Genomic DNA, 18,453 nt, shown 5'->3' with positions numbered 1-18,453 from the left:
TTGAGAGTAAAATGCCTCAGAATCTCAAAGAGGACTTTGAGAATTCTCAGGGTCCACATACAAATACACACACACACACACACACACACTACATATATATATCCAAGCAAACTAGGTGGGAATTTCACTTTACCTCATTCACCTAAGGAATCTCAATCAGTTGTTCCCTAAATAGCAAAGTACAGACTCAGCAAAAGGACCCAAGAATTATTCACAAATTGTTTATGGCTGAGTGAGCTTACAGAATGCTGGTATATGCTGAGCACACAGCTATTTGTCATAAAGCCATCAATCAAATTCAGTTGATAATAGAAATCCCTAAATAAATGAATTACAGAAATCAATGAGTCTGCTATTCTTACAGAGTTTAAAATCACTGAAAAATTTACCATGGATTTAGGAGGCAATTAAATAGTGGGGCATCAATATTCCCTTATTCATTTCACAGCTCATTCAGCCCTAACTGCTTTGTTTATCAAAGACCCAAGGAGACCGCTAAAGGCAGACTCTACTGGGGTCACCTCAAGATAAAGAGAATGAAGGCAAAGGTCAAATCAAGTTACCTCATCTATGAGCTCCTAATTCTAAAATAAAGTGAAGTTCCTTGGGGCCCATCCAATCATACCTACCAATACAGACCCAGGTCTCCCTGACCTATTATCTCAATTAGTAGGTCCAGATGGAAAGAAAAAATGAAAGCCCACAGGCAATCAAAAACTCTCACATTCGCTGTTAAGTTTCACTTCACTTTTTCCTTCTCATTACTAAGAGAAACAATGACTTTCTTGAGTCTCATCTTTTCTCTTTGTTCCATTCCAAAGCATAATGATCAACACCTGAAAGTCACAGATGACACTCAGTAGAGAGAAACAAAAGGCACAGATAATTATAAATGCAATAATACACACGGAAGTGAGTTGGTTCAACAAACATGTTGGTATGAAGCCCAGATTGACCAATGTAGTCCAATACTGGGTTGAAGGGAAGCACATGTACTTACCTAACAATAAAGCTAAATTTCTTCATCATGCAGTGTGAAAAGTATTGTGTCCGGAACTGGTGGGTTCTTGGTCTCACTGACTTCAAGAATAAAGCCGCGGACCCTCGCGGTGTTACAGCTCTTAAGGTGGCGCGTCTGGAGTTTGTTCCTTCTGATGTTCGGATGTGTTTGGAGTTTGTTTCTTCTGATGTTGGGATGTGTTCGGAGTTTCTTCCTTCTGGTGGGTTCGTGGTCTCGCTGGCTCAGGAGCGAAGCTGCGGACCTTCGCGGTGAGTGTTACAGCTCTTAAGGCAGCGCGTCTGGAATTGTTCGTTCCTCCCGATGGGTTCGTGAAGCTGCAGACCTTCGTGGCGTTACAGCTCATAAAGGCAGTGTGGACCCAAAGAGTGAGCAGGGGCAAGATTTATCGCAAAGAGCAAAAGAACAAAGCTTCCACAATGTGGAAGGGAAGCCCAGCAGCTTGCCACTGCCGGCTCGGGCAGCCTGCTTTTATTCTTTTATCTGGCCCCACCCACATCCTGCTGATTGGTCCATTTTACAGAGAGCCGAGTGGTCTGTTTTGACAGGGTGCTGATTGGTGCATTTACAATCCCTGAGCTAGACACAAAGGTTCTCCACGTCCCCACTAGATTAGCTAGATACAGAGTGTCCACACAAAGGTTCTCCACGTCCCCACCAGAGTAGCTAGATACAGAGTGTCCATTGGTGTATTCACAAACCCTGAGCTAGACACAGGGTGCTGATTGGTGTGTTTATAAACCTTGAATTAGATACAGAGTGCCGATTGGTGTATTTACAATCCATTAGCTAGACATAAAGGTTCTCCAAGTCCCCACCAGAGTAGCTAGATACAGTGTCGATTGGTGCATTCACAAACCTTGAGCTAAGACACAGGGTGCTGATTGGTGTGTTTACAAACCTTGAGCTAGATATAGAGTGCCGATATAGATCCCTTAGCTAGACATAAAGGTTCTCCAAGTCCCCACCAGACTCAGGAGCCCAGCTGGCTTCACCCAGTGGATCCCGCACCGGGGCCGCAGGTGGAGCTGCCTGCCAGTCCCATGCAGTGCGCCCACACTCCTCAGCCCTTGGGTGGTCGATGGGACTGGGCGCCATGGAGCAGGGGGCAGCGCTCGTCGGGGAGGCTCGGGCCGCACAGGAGCCCACAGAGGCGGGGGTAGGCTCAGGCATGGTGGACTGCAGGTCCCGAGCCCTGCGCCACCCGAAAGCAGCTAAGGCCCGGCGAGAAATTGAGCACAGCAGCTGCTGGCCCAGGTGCTAAGCCCCTCACTGCCTGGGGCAGCGGGCCCGCCGAGCCCACGGCCACCCGCAATTCGCGCTGGCCCGCAAGCACCGCGCGCAGCCCCGGTTCCCGCCCGCGCCTCTCCCTCCACACCTCCCGGCAAGCTGAGGGAGCCGGCTCCGTCCTTGGCCAGCCCAGAAAGGGGCTCCCACAGTGCAGCAGCGGGCTGAAGGGCTCCTCAAGTGCCGCCAAAGTGGGAGCCCAGAAAGGAGGCGCAGAGAGCTAGCAAGGGCTGTGAGGACTGCCAGCACGCTGTCACCTCTCAGTATGATACTGTTTAAGATACAAGCAGTGGAATAAGACTATTAACTCTTTTAGGAGTAGAAACCCAGCCAGAAAGGGCTCACAGCAGATGGTGATCTAGGAATTGGTGGCTAGATAGATGCCTTTGAAGAATAAGTTAAATTTAGTCAACAAAAAAGGAATGGAGGGCAACTCATGTAAAGTTCACAGTATGTGCAAAAGAACAGAATGTAGAATAACCTAGTGTGTTGGGAACTGTTAATAATTTGGTGTGGCTGGAATGTAATGTGGACAATAATGAGAGCACTGTCCTGTAAGTATATGTATATTATCCAACCATCCACGTAATGGGAGCTATTTACAGAGATAAGTCTGTTGGGGTTCCCTGAGTTGAGTAATTTTGGTCCAAATTGAAGTTCTGCTATCACCCCATATTCAACTGGTGCTGCCATGCTGCATGATTGACTTCCATTTGTGCTTCATCATAAGCTCTGCTCACCTTGCTTACAAACACTTAGAAGGAAAATTGACACTGAGGGAGCCAATGAATTTTTATAAAAATGCAATTCCTAACAGGGCTTTATTGCCGAAAATACAAATTAAGGTCTTTCTTCCCTTCCTCATCCTTATCCATCATCTTCCTCCACACTCCAGTCAAAGATGCATTCCAAATATGCACTCACAAACTCAGTTTTGTCTTTTTGAATACGCTGTGATTATAGGGATTGTATTGTATTTATAGCTTTTCCTAGGTAACTGACAGCGGGGCTTGCCTACAAGTGATTGATGAACAGAACAATCAATCAATCAGTTCATCTGCTTGCTGCATTGAAGGCAAGGGTGGAAGCATATGCCATGTGCAGGCAGCCAGTTGAAGCAATGGAATATATTGTACATTGTCTGCAATTTTAATGGCCAAAGAGGGGAAGGCAAATGAGAAATCATAAGCATTTATCCTTGCATGAATTCTAACTAAAAATAAAATAATGGTAAGGTTATATCATTTACAATGTCTTGGCTACAAGAAATGGAAAATGTATTGTCTAAGCAATAAGGAAAATGTATTCTCTCACATGAGAAGTCTAAAGTTCCAGAGTTGATTAATTCAGTGTTTTAACAATGACATCTTTTTTATCTGCCATCTTCGTTCTTTTAGTCCTGATTGCCGTATTTGTGATTATAGTTTGGTGTTGTAGCTTCAAACGTCACGGGATCACATAATATTCAAATGCCAGATTGGAAATTAGGGTACCTCCTTTTTCAATATATTCCTCATGTTTCTTTGACCAAATTGTACCACATGCCCAGTCCTTAGCCAATGACAGTCAAGGGAACTGGAATTCTTGTGCTTGCCTTAGCCACAGATTAATCAAGATCCACCTTATTGAGAGGCATCCTCCAGAAATGTGAATGAAATAAGGATCTGAAGCAAGGAATTAAGGGGTGGAGAAACACAAGTAAGGTTTGTTGTTAAATAAGCAACCAACAGTGTCCACAATAGCCAATGGCCTATTTAACTTTATTTTATCACACTCATCCAACTCCCAAGGGGTTAAATAAACAACAGGTTAACCATATTTTACCCAAAAAAAGGCATACGTGTATTTACCTTTAAGAAAGAATAAATGAATAAATAATACTTCAAAAAATAAGCAAGCAGGAGGAAGATTATAAAAATAAGAAGATTATAAGGAATTTTAAGCACCATGATCTTTGAGTGAAAAAATGCCATGATCCACTATTATAAATTATTTTTCCAAAATTAAAATTAAAATGCTAGTGCTGCATTCAGGTGTAATAAGTCGAAGTTCCTTCATATATTTCTCTTGTTAACAGTAAAGATTGAAGAGTGATCATATGTAATAGAAGAAACAATAGACAAATAAAAACAGCCAGAGACCCAACTTCTAGCTACAGGCCTTATAATTACACTTGCTATGTCTGCAATCCTTCACCCAGAAATATGCAGGTTCTCACCAAGTCTTTAAGGATAACACTAATTAATTTGTTAATTTATTCAAAAGTTATTTTTGTGGGTAGAATAATTTAGCTCTAACCACAAGTTAATACAGTTTTAAGAAACCTTTCTGGAATTCAGTGCCTGTCACACATTTAGTGTTAATACCATGTTGCAATATTTAAAAGTTTATTAACATAAAATATTTCAAGCAATACATTTTTAAATTAATCTCAAATTAAATTGAAGATTATACCCATTAAGCATACCCTTTAAGAGTTGAATATCGGGCATGACAATCACCACTGGTTACCTAGCAACCATGGTACCTGCTCTTACATTATGTTTATCCTAAACACTAATGTAAAAATTAGTGATGAATATATATCCACTTCAAGTCTCTATTTACTAGAAAACTGCATTTTTTTAGTTATTATTGGTTTCATATTTTGCTATTCTGGCAAGCTGAATTTTAATGGAAGGTTGGGAGGGTGGTGTCCTGGTCATTAAGCTGCCGTCTACTCTCAACAAGCAGTCCTAAGAATGATGCCTAATTATTAAAGCAATGATGCCCATCACTGGTCATTACAACTAAAATGAAATTAATGTCTGGTGAGTATCTCAAGCCATCTTTAAAAAAAGAGTCATGTGGAAAGTATACCTCGCTTCCACACATTCTAATTTCTAAAAGAATATAAGATTAGACTATGAGTGCCCCGGGGCACTCCCAAGGCTATCCTATTCTTTAAAATGCCTGAGGTGGGCCCCACAGTTAAAAAATGTCATCTCTCATCCCATTTTCTACTGCTAGCGTATATTATAACAATAACCTTTCCAATTCTGCATACATTCCCATGTCTGTACATTTACATTGTGGAGTCTCTGGTGCCACAATTGCCAAGGAGCTCTCTGAAGCACTGTGGCTGTGCTTTGCCAACTGTGTTTGGCTGCCCGGCTCCTTCTGGGCTCCCAAAGCTGGCAGGCTAATATGCTAATAGCATTCATTAGCCTGAGCTTTGACCGACAGTTAAAACAGGACACCGCATCAGCACTCCAGCTCTGCATGGCCATTATGCCATTTCAGGAGGTGCAGCTAATTCAAAGAAGATGATGACAGGGTTTGCAATCAGGGAACATTAGAGTGTCGGGCAGTGGAGAGGCTGAACATGCTAGGCAGGCAACACTGCCAGCAACCCTGATTTGATTTCTGGCACCACTGGCGGGCTTGGCAAAAAAACAAAAAAAACAAAAACAAAAAAAAACGGAGGTAATGAAATATCAGGCATTGGGACTGGTCTTTGATGTAATTATTCTCCAGGGCAACAAGGGACAAGATGAAAAAGCTTTCAGGGACAGGCAGTGGGCACCTGTGGGACCCCGCTTCCATTACAGCATGACACTCTGCTGAGCAACTCTCTCTCCACTGGGGAGAGCAGGGTACTAAATGGGCCGTCAAAAGGGAGGGGACATGGGAAACAGTCTGTGAAAGAAAATAAAGCTGAGGAAAGATAGAAATAAGATAGAGAGGTTGTCAGAGCCTTGCAAGGGAGCGAGAATTAAGTGAGGTGTTTCAGAATCTCTGTTAGGAGCGATGATAACTTACATGGTTTACATCAATTGGTTTTGACGTTCACGCATTGGAGAAAGAACAGAAAGCAAACAAGGCAAAGGACGCAACAGGCCACAGAAGCCCCAAGAGTAGTAAAATCCCTTAAGATGTTGGTCAAAAACAGATAAGCCTTTGGCATTTCCCCTTCAGGGCTCTTGGTTCTGTCAGGTTGAGGACCAGACTGAAATGATTAAGGGAGTACTTTCTGGAAGTTCAATCCTCTAAGCCTCTGAATATAATCAAGCTCACCCAGCAATTCTTTATGTAGGAACAGGCCCAAGGCTAAAGTTGAACCAGAAATGAATCATTTCTCATTCTGCAGTGAATGCTACTTCTGAATCAAGTTGGAGGTCACTGGCTCAACAAATGGGGAAGCGTGTGTGTTACAAACCCTCCCTGTGCACAAACCTGGAGCTTTAGCTTTCTTTGATCTTTACAAGGGAAAACATTCCCCAACTGAAAATAAACATTACAACAGGATTGACAACTGAGAACATTTACAAATCATGTCATCTTTGCTCGGTTTGATTTAAAAGTGGGAACCAGGATATAATATTCAACCCTATCCCCCCTCACTCCCCACACACAACGCTGTTATTTCAGAGAGGCAGTATATTTCACTGGCACACTTTTGATTTCTGCATAGAACAAAGCCAGTATATTTATTAGCTATACTTCTCATGTATTTTCTCCAAAGATCTCCCCTGGCTCTTTCTCTCCTCCTTTTGTATTTGAGCAATGCATCCCACCCCTTCACCAATTCCTGCAATTTCAACTATCACCACAATGGAAATAGTTACCAACCTCTCTCAAAAACCCAATTATCTGTAAACTCCGGGCCCCAAATTTTACTGGCCTGTTGAAGAGCACTAATGATGAACACAGAGCTGGCAAGCAAGATGCTTTGACTCACATCCACCAGCTCAATTTCACTTGTCCAAAACTCCTCCTTCTATGTTCCCATTTCTATGAATAACATCATTATCTTTTTATTCACCCAGTTCAAAACCTTGGAATCATCTCCTCTTGTCTCCCATACCCAATTTGATGTAAATTTTGTTGATTAACTCTCTCACATCTCTTGCATTGATCCTTGTCTGCTGTTCCCACCATACTTTTCTAATGTAGGAGCCACCTTATGAATTAAACAGTGTTTTATGGACAAAACTGGAAACATACCATCGCAATATTATTTCACTGGGAAAATATATTCTATATACCTACCAACCAACCAACTTCAACTCATTCCTGACCCTCTGTAACTCGCTTCTGATTCTGTCCCAACTTAAACTCATTCCTGACTCTGTTTACTACACCCCAAATTTATATCCAGTCAGTTCGAAATCTTGTGACTCTGCCTCCATATCTCCACCTCTACCTCCTTATGTTTGCTACCTCCAGATAGAGTCCTGTTAGTATTGTGATTTTTGCTCTCAAAACTTTCACTGGAGCATTGCAAGAGCCTCATCTTGGTCTTTTCTACAAACATTGCTAAAAGATTAGCTTTGGGAAACATGAATGTAATCATGGCATATCCCTACTCAAAAACTGTCATGCTTCTATATAAAGAATCTGGCACTGAAGACCCATTGTGACATGACTGGGGCCAATTACTCCAGTTTTCCCTCATTTATTTTAATGTTCCACCACTTGGTGTTGCTTTGTTTTGCCCAGGAAATTGTACATTTTCCAAAACAACCACTTTTGTTTAAAATGCACTAATATACCAACTACACAATTTTTCGTGTCACATCCTACCCATGATTGAGACTGCTCAAATCCTATATTCTTCAGGAGGTATTTTCCGTGTCTTCTGCACAGATAAACTACTAACTCAAGGGCCCTGATGAATGTTAGTTAGCATTCATAAGTTTTGTCTCTATTGTCTTTGAAAGCAAGATAGCAAGGCTTGTGTCTGTTAAGATCATTTTATGGAAGCAAAATGCAGATAGGCATGTAATTATGAGTCTTCCCTATGACATAAATGAAAATTAAGTATCCTTATAATTGGGTTAGTAAACAAATTCAATTAACTGGGAGAAATGACTGGCACAGCTGATTAGTCTCAGTGTTCTCCAAAGGGGTTCCCTACATAGCCCATCGCATGGTCTTTATGTCCACCCAAGTATCTGGAGGTAAAGATTAGTTGAAAAAGTGATGGTATCCAGTGTTCCTCTTTCCTGATCCTTCTCCTCTGGCTGTTTAGAAATACTAATGACTTCCTTCATCTCCCTCAATTGACGTTTACAGGATTCCTAGATAATCAAAGAGGGTCATCAGTTAGAAATAATAGTTTACAATAGGAAGAGGTTGGGAGGAGCATCATTTTGGTTGGAAGTGAAATGCAAATAAAATTCACTGTGGAGCAAACCCCTCCTCAGATTCCAGTATGCATCCTGGAGAGGATGGAAAAGCCCTCCTGCTGAGAACTTCTACCATTGTGAGCTCTATTATTGATTTGAGTGTATGATGTCATTTGGATATCTGAAGAAGAAAAAAATTTTTAGAACTTATGGTTTACATCATGCTGTTAATCATATTTGTCATATCACAGGGTTATTAGAAAAGCAAAGATGATGTCAAATATGAAATTGCCTTATAAGGGAAAAAACAAACTCCAAATATGACACTTTGGAGTAACATAAACATGTCTAACTACCCATTATGGAATAATTTGTTGTTGATAATCTATCATTCTGTCTCTGCCACCGTAGACTCATCTATGTGGGTCTTTTTTCAGATTGAATTTATATAACATAAAGTGAGCTGAATTGCAAAAGCCAGAAAAAAATTATCTGGCCTCACTTTCTATATCTATTATGTTAACTGGATATTCTCATCTCTCCACTCTACCCTGAGTTAGGGAGAAGCAGCCTCATAGTCTATTTTGTTAGAGAAGTTGAAACAACGCGTTCATAGAGAACATAATTAGAATCATTGAATTTTAGAGCTGGAAGAGACCATAGAGATCATAATTGAGAGTAAAGTTTATCTGGGAGATATAATTTTATTTTTCCCTTTCGTTGGTTAAACGACCAGTGCAATCTGCTCCAGATTGTTGCGTCCCTTCTTAAAAGTAAATTAACTATATCTTCCAGAACAGGGAATTCTTTTCTTTTTGCACATATTTTAAACAGTAATTACTAGTACCTTTTAGAATGTTTTGTTTGTCTCTTTGCTGCCATCCCCAGTCTGGCAACCACACTTTTCTGCAAACATTCTAATTGCAATATGCCCCCTCTTCCAAATGGTCTCAGGATGAGTGAAACAAACAGGCATGTAAAGAACATCATAATGAAAAACTTTTCTAACAAAGGAAGAATTATGATAAAGGAAAATGTCTGCATGCATTCCTTGACAAAACTTTCAGAAAAGCAAATGTATCCTGTAAATGTAGTTCAATGCTAAGTAAAATTCACTTGGCATAAGGATGGTCTAGTCACAATCACAAAAGGAAAGAAAACCAGAATACATGGATTCTAATCCCAACTCTACAAGCAGTGTGAAAATGAACTAAATCAGATAATATAAGTAGAAGTAATCTGAATGGTGTTTAAAAATATGCAAGAGGAATGTATTTTTAACCACCTGGTATTGTATATAGCTCTATAGTCAATTACTATCTGCCTGTTAGCTTATAAACCTCTAGGTGTAAAAAATAATTTTTTTGAGGAAGGCAGGGGCAATTATTCTACACAGTGTCTTGCACATAAAAAGTACTTAACAGATAAGTATTAAGTAAAAGAATACATGAATAAAGAATACAAGAATAATAGCACAATTGAGTGACTGGATGATTAAAATAATATGTTAAAGAAAAGGGAGGAGAAATAAATCATAAATGGATCATAAACATTGTAATAAGTTAGAGTTGTTGAACAGCATTCTCATGTGAACACAAAATGCTTCCTCTTTTTAGCAAATAAGAAGATCATTAATTCAAGGTGTTTCTCTTCCTGTTTCCAGAGGTATAACATTTCAAAACACTGTCACCTTTCAGATTTTCCTTTCAGATACAGCAAGCTAGAATGCACCCGCACTAGGAAAGGAATTATTAGGGCTATTCTTCTGCAAGCTTCAGGACATAAACTGATCACCAGCTGGGGTCAGGACAAAATTATGGAGACTCCCAAAAGCTTCCTCCAGAGCTTGCTGCAGTGCTCACTGCTGGAATCACAAAACCAATACTAAAATGAAGTTCAACTGTTATTTTTTTTATTGAGTAGCAATTCTTATGGTTTTCAAATTGAGAAGAGAACACAACAAAGGAATCCACTGAAACAGTATCAGCAGCTCTCTTGTTCCAGCTTCCAAACAAAATGCAGGCAGTGGGCAATGAAAGTAAGGAAACCTGTCACATTGTGGATCTAAAATCCAAAGCGTTTCTACCTCTGTAAGGAAGCATCATATTTCACTGAAGGACCAGGTAAATAGCACAACCTTCTCCTGAGAAAGTTCACAAATATTGCATCTTTAAGGTCAACAGCTATATCACCATCAGTTTTCTCATTGCAAAGCTACTTGGGAAGTAAAGAAATGCCCTATTCAAACAGAAAGCTTTTTGGTACAGGCTGGTAATTTCATTAAGTTAAGATGTTTTTGTGAGATCATTTCACCTGAGAAAATAAACAGGATACGTAAGAGATGGCACTCCTTTCAAGGACACGATGGCTTAAAAACACACAGGTGACAACTGGTGGTGGCAAAGCTGTTGGGGGTTATTTAAAGAAAAAAAATTGTCAGACATTGATTCCAATACTCAGATTCCCAGGAATCCTGGCTGGCATATTCAAAACAAGCCGTGATCTTTAGCTGTTCTGTGTGCTTCTCAGGCGCAGACTGCCTGGATGATGCAAATACAGGTGAAGCTGCCTGAAAGCATTAGCAAGAACCACTGAAGTCCTTAACTCCATCCAAGCTCTTCACTCTACAGGGAACAGCTTGAGGCTTTGTATGATGCCCAGAGTCAAAAGTTCATTCTCTCTTGGGAATATTGGCAGCCATGGCTCCTGAAGAGAACAGAGCCACAGTCAGCAAAGCAAAAACGTTTTGCCAGGTCCTCACTGTTTTGCCTTAGATGTCAATGAGAATGCTGTGAACAGAATGCAAGCCTGATAAATTATACCTGTTTTTAAATTAATAGTACCCTGAAATGATGACTAGAATACAGTATATATTAGATAAGATGAACATTAGGTGGTGCCGAGCTATTTAAAGAAAAAATGAACACGTTTAACTCCAGTGCAGCTCTCCTGGAAGTGTAAACTCACTTACATAATAAATATTCGTTGAGTGCTTACTTTGTGTGTAGGTGATAGGAATACAATGGCGAACAAGGCTTGCCCTTGTCCTTTAAGTGTGGAAATGAAGAATTCAATAAATAAATTCTTCCAAGATTTTTCTAGGTCTCAAACGTCTGCAAGGAAAATAAGAGAAAATGTCATATAAACGGAATGTGGCTATCTCCATTTGTACTTCCAGAGGAGTTGGCGGGGGGGCGGTGGCAGCGATATAACTCACCTAATCAGACAGAAAGGAGAATGGGTGGGACATGGAATCATTAGTGCACTGTTTAGCAGAGTACGTTGGTGAATAACAGCCATGCAGCTGAATCCCAAGCACAGCTTATGGGTAGGAAGAGAGAGAGCTGGATTGCTCACTATAAATCAGTATGAGAAAATACTATTTTTCTTTTTGGAGTGGCTGAAAGGCAGCACAGAGAGGAAAGACAGAGGGGGCCAAAAAACATAGCAGGTGCCCAGTACTCACGTTGAGAGAAATGGCTGAAGAACTTCTTCAAGAGCCCAATGTTCAATTGTTGATTATCTAACTATGGAATGCCATATAACTTCTCTCACCATTACCCATCTCTTTAGTAAAACGCTACCACCCACAGCTGCTCCCCAGAGTGATATTTTAGGACTAAGAGCAAAGAATTAAGGGGAAGAAACTGCATCCTATGTCTGAGTTGATACTAGGGCAAAGATAAAGAAACACCCAGAAGACACAATAAACAAAAATCCAGCATCAGTAAGATAGCAAAGCCCAAGATGACTAAATGAAGCACAAATCCCTGAGCACTGCAAAACTCCTAGAGCAGTTATTGGATTTCCCTTAAGACATGGGGTAGAGGTTCTTAAGAGCAGCAGGTGATATCTGGATTACTACTCCTGAAGGGCAGGACCACGTCTTTGTCTTTGTGTATCACATAATGCCTCTACAGGCACTAGTACAAACCTCCTAGGAAGAACTTATGAAAGTTTGTTGAATAATTTATAATGGTGAGATGAAATCTCAGCTCCTAACTGCCAAATAGGGAACAGGGACTTCCCAGGGGCCTTCAAGTATGAAACACAGGAGCTGCTGTGTTTGCAGGTAACTGCCCCAAGACCCTGATTTGAGGGGCTGCTAGCCAGAAACTTCTTTATCGGTCAGCCCCAGATTGAGATTCCCACCACTAGGGATTTTGTGGTAGACTTAAGACTTAAGAGATCCAAAAGCAATGCCTTCATAACTAGTTCTCACAACCCAGCACAGGGAAAACTCCCATCACTGTATGAAAAGGTTTTCAAACTCAGTCTTAAAAGACTCATTATCGGCCGGGCACAGTGGCTCACGCCTGTAATCACAGCACTTTGGGAGGCCGAGGCAGGCGGATCACCTGAGGTCAGAAGTTCGAGACCAGCCTGGCCAACATGGTGAAATCCCGTCTCTCCTAAAAATACAAAAATTAGCTGGGCGTGGTGGCAGGCACCTGTAATCCCAACTATTGGGGAGGCTGAGGCAGGAGAATCGCTTGAACCTGGGAGGCAGAAGTTGCAGTGAGCCGAGATCGCACAATTGCACTCCAGTCCGGGGGACAAGAGTGAGACTTTGTCTCAAAAAAAAAAAAAAAGACTCATTATCTCATTTTTGTTATTTGAATTTGAAAACAGCAAAGAGCAACTTAGTAGTTCTTTGGGTTATGAGTGATGCTGAAGGCAGAGTCATCATGTCAGAAGAAAAAAAAACAAATAGTATTTTATAAAAGGTAAATATACTCTTACACAGAATTATTTCTGTACTAGTGAGATGATGTCTAAAGGCAAGTGAGGTTTCTGATGCTTAGTCAGTCTCTGATTCACTGAGCACATGCTATGCTATGCAGAGAAGGAAAATAATGTGAACAAGATAGAAGTGGTCTTGTCTTTGTGGTGATAGCATTATAATGCGAGATACGGTAAAGGGGAAATTATGACATGGAATTTATGACACAGAACAGGAAGTGTCATACTGGGGGAATATAGAATGAGAAGAGAGTTTGTAATCAGGGACTAGGTCAGATTCCAGGTCTAGGACAACCTTTGAGAAGAACTAACTTGTAACATGAGACCTAAATGAGGAAAAGAACATGCCAAGAAGAGTCAGTGAGAAGTTGGAAGAGTGTCCTAGAAAGAGGGAAAAGCATTTTCTGGAACAGAGAACCAGACTGAACACAGGGTCAATTCACCAACAAAGCACAAGCAACAAAAGTTCTATTTCTATTTTTCAATCTAGCGTTTTCAAAACAGATCAAAGTAAAAATCATTGAAAAAAAATCACTCCTTTCTTAGGCTGACTTACTGGCTGAAATGTATTTTACAGTCTTGAATTGTTTTTATTTTGAATCACAAAAGTGAGGTCCCACAGTCTTTTCAGTGCCTAGAACTGGTGGCAATATTGATAGTGGGTGATGTTTGCCGAATATCAGTTATACCCCAGCATTGCTCTGAGTGTTTTATACTCCTTGACTCATTTAAGCCTCACAATAATTCTATTATCATCTGATTTTATAGATGGGAAAACTGAGAGGGAGCAATTAAGTAAGCAGGCTGGGGTCATGATGTTATTAAGTGACAAAGCTGAAATTTGAACCCCTATAGTCTGGTGCCAAAGTCTGGGCTCCTAACTACAAACTTTGTACCCATATGTTGGGGAAGTGAAATAACTTCCCTATGGCTCGTAGACATACCTAAAAGTTGAGGCTAAAGAAAAATTAAGAACAATATCATGAAGGGTCTGATGAGCCCTATCAAGGAGTTGGAACTACTTCATGAGAGAATGAGCCTTTGAAGGTTTTTAAGCATAAAAATGACTATTTGGCTGGGGGCAGTGGCTCAAGACTTTCATCACAGCACCTTGCGTGGCCAAGGTGGGCAGAAAATTTGAGCCCAGGAGTCTGAGACTAGCCTGGGCAACAGGGCAAAACCCCCCATTTCTACTAAAAATACAAAAATTATCCAGGCATGGTGGCTATGATGGTTAATACTGAGTGTCAACTTGATTGGATTGAAGGATACAAAGTATTAATCCTGGGTGTGTCTGTGACGGTGTTGCCAAAGGAGATTAACATTTGAGTCAGTGGGCTGGGAAAGGCAGACCCACCCTTAATCTGGGTGGGCACAATCTAATCAGCTGCCAGCACAGCTAGAATATAAGCAGGCAGAAAAATGTCAAGAGAGAGACTGGCCTAGCCTCCTAGCCTACATCTTTCTCCCATGCTGGATGTTTCCTGCCCTTAAACATCCAAGTTTAATTGAAGACTCCAAGTTCTTCAATTGTGGAACTCAGACTGGCTCTCCTCACTCCTCAGCCTGCAGACAGCCTATTGTAGAACCTTGTGATTGTGTGAGTTAATACCTAGTAAACTCCCATATATATATTCCATATATATAAATACAATATATATATATAGTATATACCATATATACCATATATATAGAGTATATACCATATATACTATATATAGAGTATATATACCATATATACCATATATATGGTATATATACTCTATGGTATATATGGTATATATATGGTATATATGGTATATACTCTATATATGGTATATATGGTATATGCTATATATATGGTATATATGGTATATATGGTATATACTCTATGGTATATATGGTATATACTCTATATATATGGTATATATGGTATATACTATATATATATGGTATTTATATATATGGAATATATATATGGGAGTTTACTAGGTATATATATATATATTCCATTATTTCTGTCCCTCTAGAGAACCCTGATTAATACAGTGGCATATGCCTGTAATCCCAGCTACTTGGGAAACTGAGATGGGAGGATCACCTGAGTGCGGGAGGTGGAGGTTACAGTGAGCTGTGATCATGCCACCGCACTCCACCCTGGACAACAGAATGAGACTCTGTCTCAAAAAAAAAAAAAAAAGAAAAGAAAAGAAAGAAAGAAATGACATAATTTGATTTGCTTTGTACCAAGATCCCTCTGGCTACGAGGAGAACCAATTAGAAAGAACAAGGCCAGCCGGGCACGGCAGCTCATGCCTGTAATCTCAGCACTTTGGGAGGCCGAGGCAGGTGGATCATGAGGTCAGGAGTTCGAGACCAGCCTGGCCAATATGGTGAAACCGCATCTCTACTAAAAAATACAAAAATTAGCCGGGCGTGGTGACAGGCCAAAATTGTGCCACTTTACCCCAGGCTGGGTGACAGAGCAAGACTCCATCTCAAAAAAAATGAATAAAATAAAAGGCCACAGGCAGGGAGACAAGGAGGTGCTAGAAGTAATCCAGGTGAGAGATTGTCACTGCTTGATCCAGAATAGTAGATATTTGAGAGATATTGAGGAGGCAAAAACGACAGAAGTTAGTGACTGGCTGGGGGTGGGGTTGACAGAAAGGGGGAAGTCAAGAATGCTTCCTGCATTTTTGGGTGGAGGGGTAGCACAGGACATACAGAAGGAGCAAGTTAGAGGCAAGACACAAGTTCAGGCCTGGACATGCTCTATGTAGGCGGCCCAATGTTTATCCAGCAGGTGATATCCAGTAGGTAGTTGGATATGAAAATCTAAAATTCAAGAGAGATAATAATTAAAACATGGCAGTAGATAGAGAACCTCTATGGTGGGTGTGCTAGGTGCAAACAAACAAAAGCCAGCAGGGAGAAGAATTCCACAAAAATATAAGAGATTGGTGGAAGAAGAAAAGACCACAAAGGAAACTGGGAACAAGCCGTCAGAGCAGCAGGAAGTCAGAAGTACAATGTTTCACCGAACAAAGAGGAAAAGATGTCAGGAAGGCAGTACAGGTCCATTGCTGCTGAGATTCAGAAGACAAAGGTCTGGAGCGCCCACAGGATATAGCAACAAGGACATTATTAGTGACTTTGCCAAGAGCTGTTTATAGACAGAGTGAAGGAAACAGCCAGGTGGCAGCAAACTGAAGAGAGTATGGGAGAGTATGGGAGGTGAAAAAGTGGAAATGGGCTGTAAATGTCAGGAGGTTTGTGTGGGAGAGGAAAAAAGAAATTGGGTGGAAGAGTAGAGTTGTCATCATCTTTGTCATCTCTTCTGTAACTGTTGCTTTTCCTAGAGACGTCAGCACAAAGACTAATGGAAAAGAGCAGAGAATGGAACGTATTTACAAAGGGAGATCTCAGAGAAGGCAGAGGGGTTGAGAATCCAAGAAGAGAGGGATGCTTTGGCCCAGATGAGAGAAGAGAAGGAGCAAGGGTGGAAGGCAGGCACTGAGTAGGGGCAGAGCAAGAAGCAGAGATTATTTCTGAGTAACAGCTTCTACTTCCTCTGAAATGGGATGCAAGGTTATCTGCTGAGAGAGAGGGAGGACATAGGAGAGGTTTGCAGAGATGATTCATCTCCTTTGCCACCTTCACTGATTATGCATGTGGGTGCTTCATTTTGTCCCTGAAATTACCAATTCACTAACATGGGCTCTTCATGTGTATCCTGCTATTTTTTGAAGGGTTAGTTGAAGTACTAAATATTATAGATGAAATTAGGCTAGACAAAATGGAGTTAAAGAGGTAGATAATGGAGCTTGTCAGAAAAAAAATAAGCAAGATATTTTCCTAATATAAAGCTCCCTTTTAATTGAAATGATAAACCATTTCTGTATAGGATGGGTTTCAGAATCTTCTTGAATATTTGTTTTTGTCTATTCTTACATTCATGTTAGACTTTGGGGTCCCTGTGATATCAATATAGTGAAGTCTACCACAAATAAAAGAGTCTAGCACTAAATACTTGTGAAATGGCAGATTCTTTTGTATCTCCCATATTCTATAAGATATTAAACTTTTCAGATTTGAGCTAAATTTATTTTACTAATCCCGTCTTCATTTTTTGTAAAACTGTCATCAAAAATACAGTACATTATATTGCTGGGATATCCCTTTATTAGATCTCATGCATTAAATTGCATTCAGAATAAAATGCTAAAATGATCTCATTTGAATAATTGATATGCTCCCTCTATCCTGATAACAAATTTTATGCAACTTTTTAGGTCCCCTCTCCTTTGACATAGCCACAGAGAAATTTTTATGTCTACTCAGAGCAACTGTACTTGTCCTTGTAGTTAGCATATATCTCTATTTCCACTTTGTGGTTTCAAATGTCACCTTCTAATCTGTTATCCTGAATTGATGTGTCCCTCCTGGAAATATCCTTTTGGGGTGTGTGATACAAATTAATTAATTAAGAGATCAACTTAACCTTGTGGTTGGTTGAAAGCAATTCAATTTCTCCACGAACACTTATGTGTTTACCTGGTATTCACAGCACATAATGCATTTGTATAAGCTAAATACCCAACTTTGCTCTAAAATCCTGAGCCTACATTGAAAAAAAAATTATCTTGAAAAATTCTCACACATTAGATTGAATTGTGTCCAAATCTACTCATTGGCATTTCAACCTTTTATTAAACCGTAAAACAATGTATAAAGAAAACAAACAAAAGTATAATTCATCAGTGTTCAAAAAAATTGGGGACCTCGGTATTTTGCTACATTTTTTGTTGCCCATTTGACCTGGATGTCTTCGGAAAGTAGCGTTCTAATTTTTCTGAAGATAATTGTAGCCCTGTTTACTTGGATGTTTTTATTCTCCCAAGTGATTTGTTTTACTCAGTTTATACCATTCACCTGCCTCATGTTCTTTTCCAGGAGCCAGCCCATGAAACTGAGAAGTGATACACATCTGGTACCTATAAAAGCAGCATCTGCATTGCCTGCAATAATTAGCATTTTGCTTTACTGTGCATGCTGCTTTGCCTTTATACTGCACCCTGAATCAAATGACTTTAAGACCCTGAATTAGTTAATATACACAACACAGCTCTCTTGCCCAATATCTCCAAAAGATCTGAAGAAATTTTATTCAAATTTAACCAGAAAATGGGTGAAAGTGAAATTAGGCAAGCAAGGCAATAAAGCAACAAGCCTAGAATAAGAACACCTGGAGATGAAAAACCTGGAGCTGCGTTTATAAGCCATGCTACTTCCCTAAGAATTCCTGAGCACTAA

General features: G+C 40.3%; 1 long non-coding RNA gene across 1 annotated transcript in view, besides 1 other annotated feature; it reads right to left on the bottom strand.

Moving 5' to 3' along the window:
- The window catches only part of CAVIN2-AS1 (CAVIN2 and TMEFF2 antisense RNA 1), a 217,342-nt gene that overhangs the window by 139,785 nt on the left and 59,104 nt on the right, over window positions 1-18,453 (bottom strand). The window lies entirely within an intron of this gene.
- Window positions 16,628-16,922: a silencer, noted in NCBI's record as "tiled region #5853; HepG2 Repressive non-DNase unmatched - State 23:Low". NCBI's record gives its function as "represses a minimal TATA promoter and a strong SV40 promoter by Sharpr-MPRA in HepG2 cells {active_cell/tissue: HepG2}" and the evidence as "EXISTENCE:reporter gene assay evidence [ECO:0000049][PMID:27701403]".

Source organism: Homo sapiens, chromosome 2, assembly GCF_000001405.40.
Source record: "Homo sapiens chromosome 2, GRCh38.p14 Primary Assembly".
NCBI classification, from domain to species: domain Eukaryota; kingdom Metazoa; phylum Chordata; class Mammalia; order Primates; family Hominidae; genus Homo; species Homo sapiens.
The sequence above is the reverse complement of the archived record's forward strand: the minus strand, read 5'-3'. Positions and strand labels throughout refer to the sequence as shown.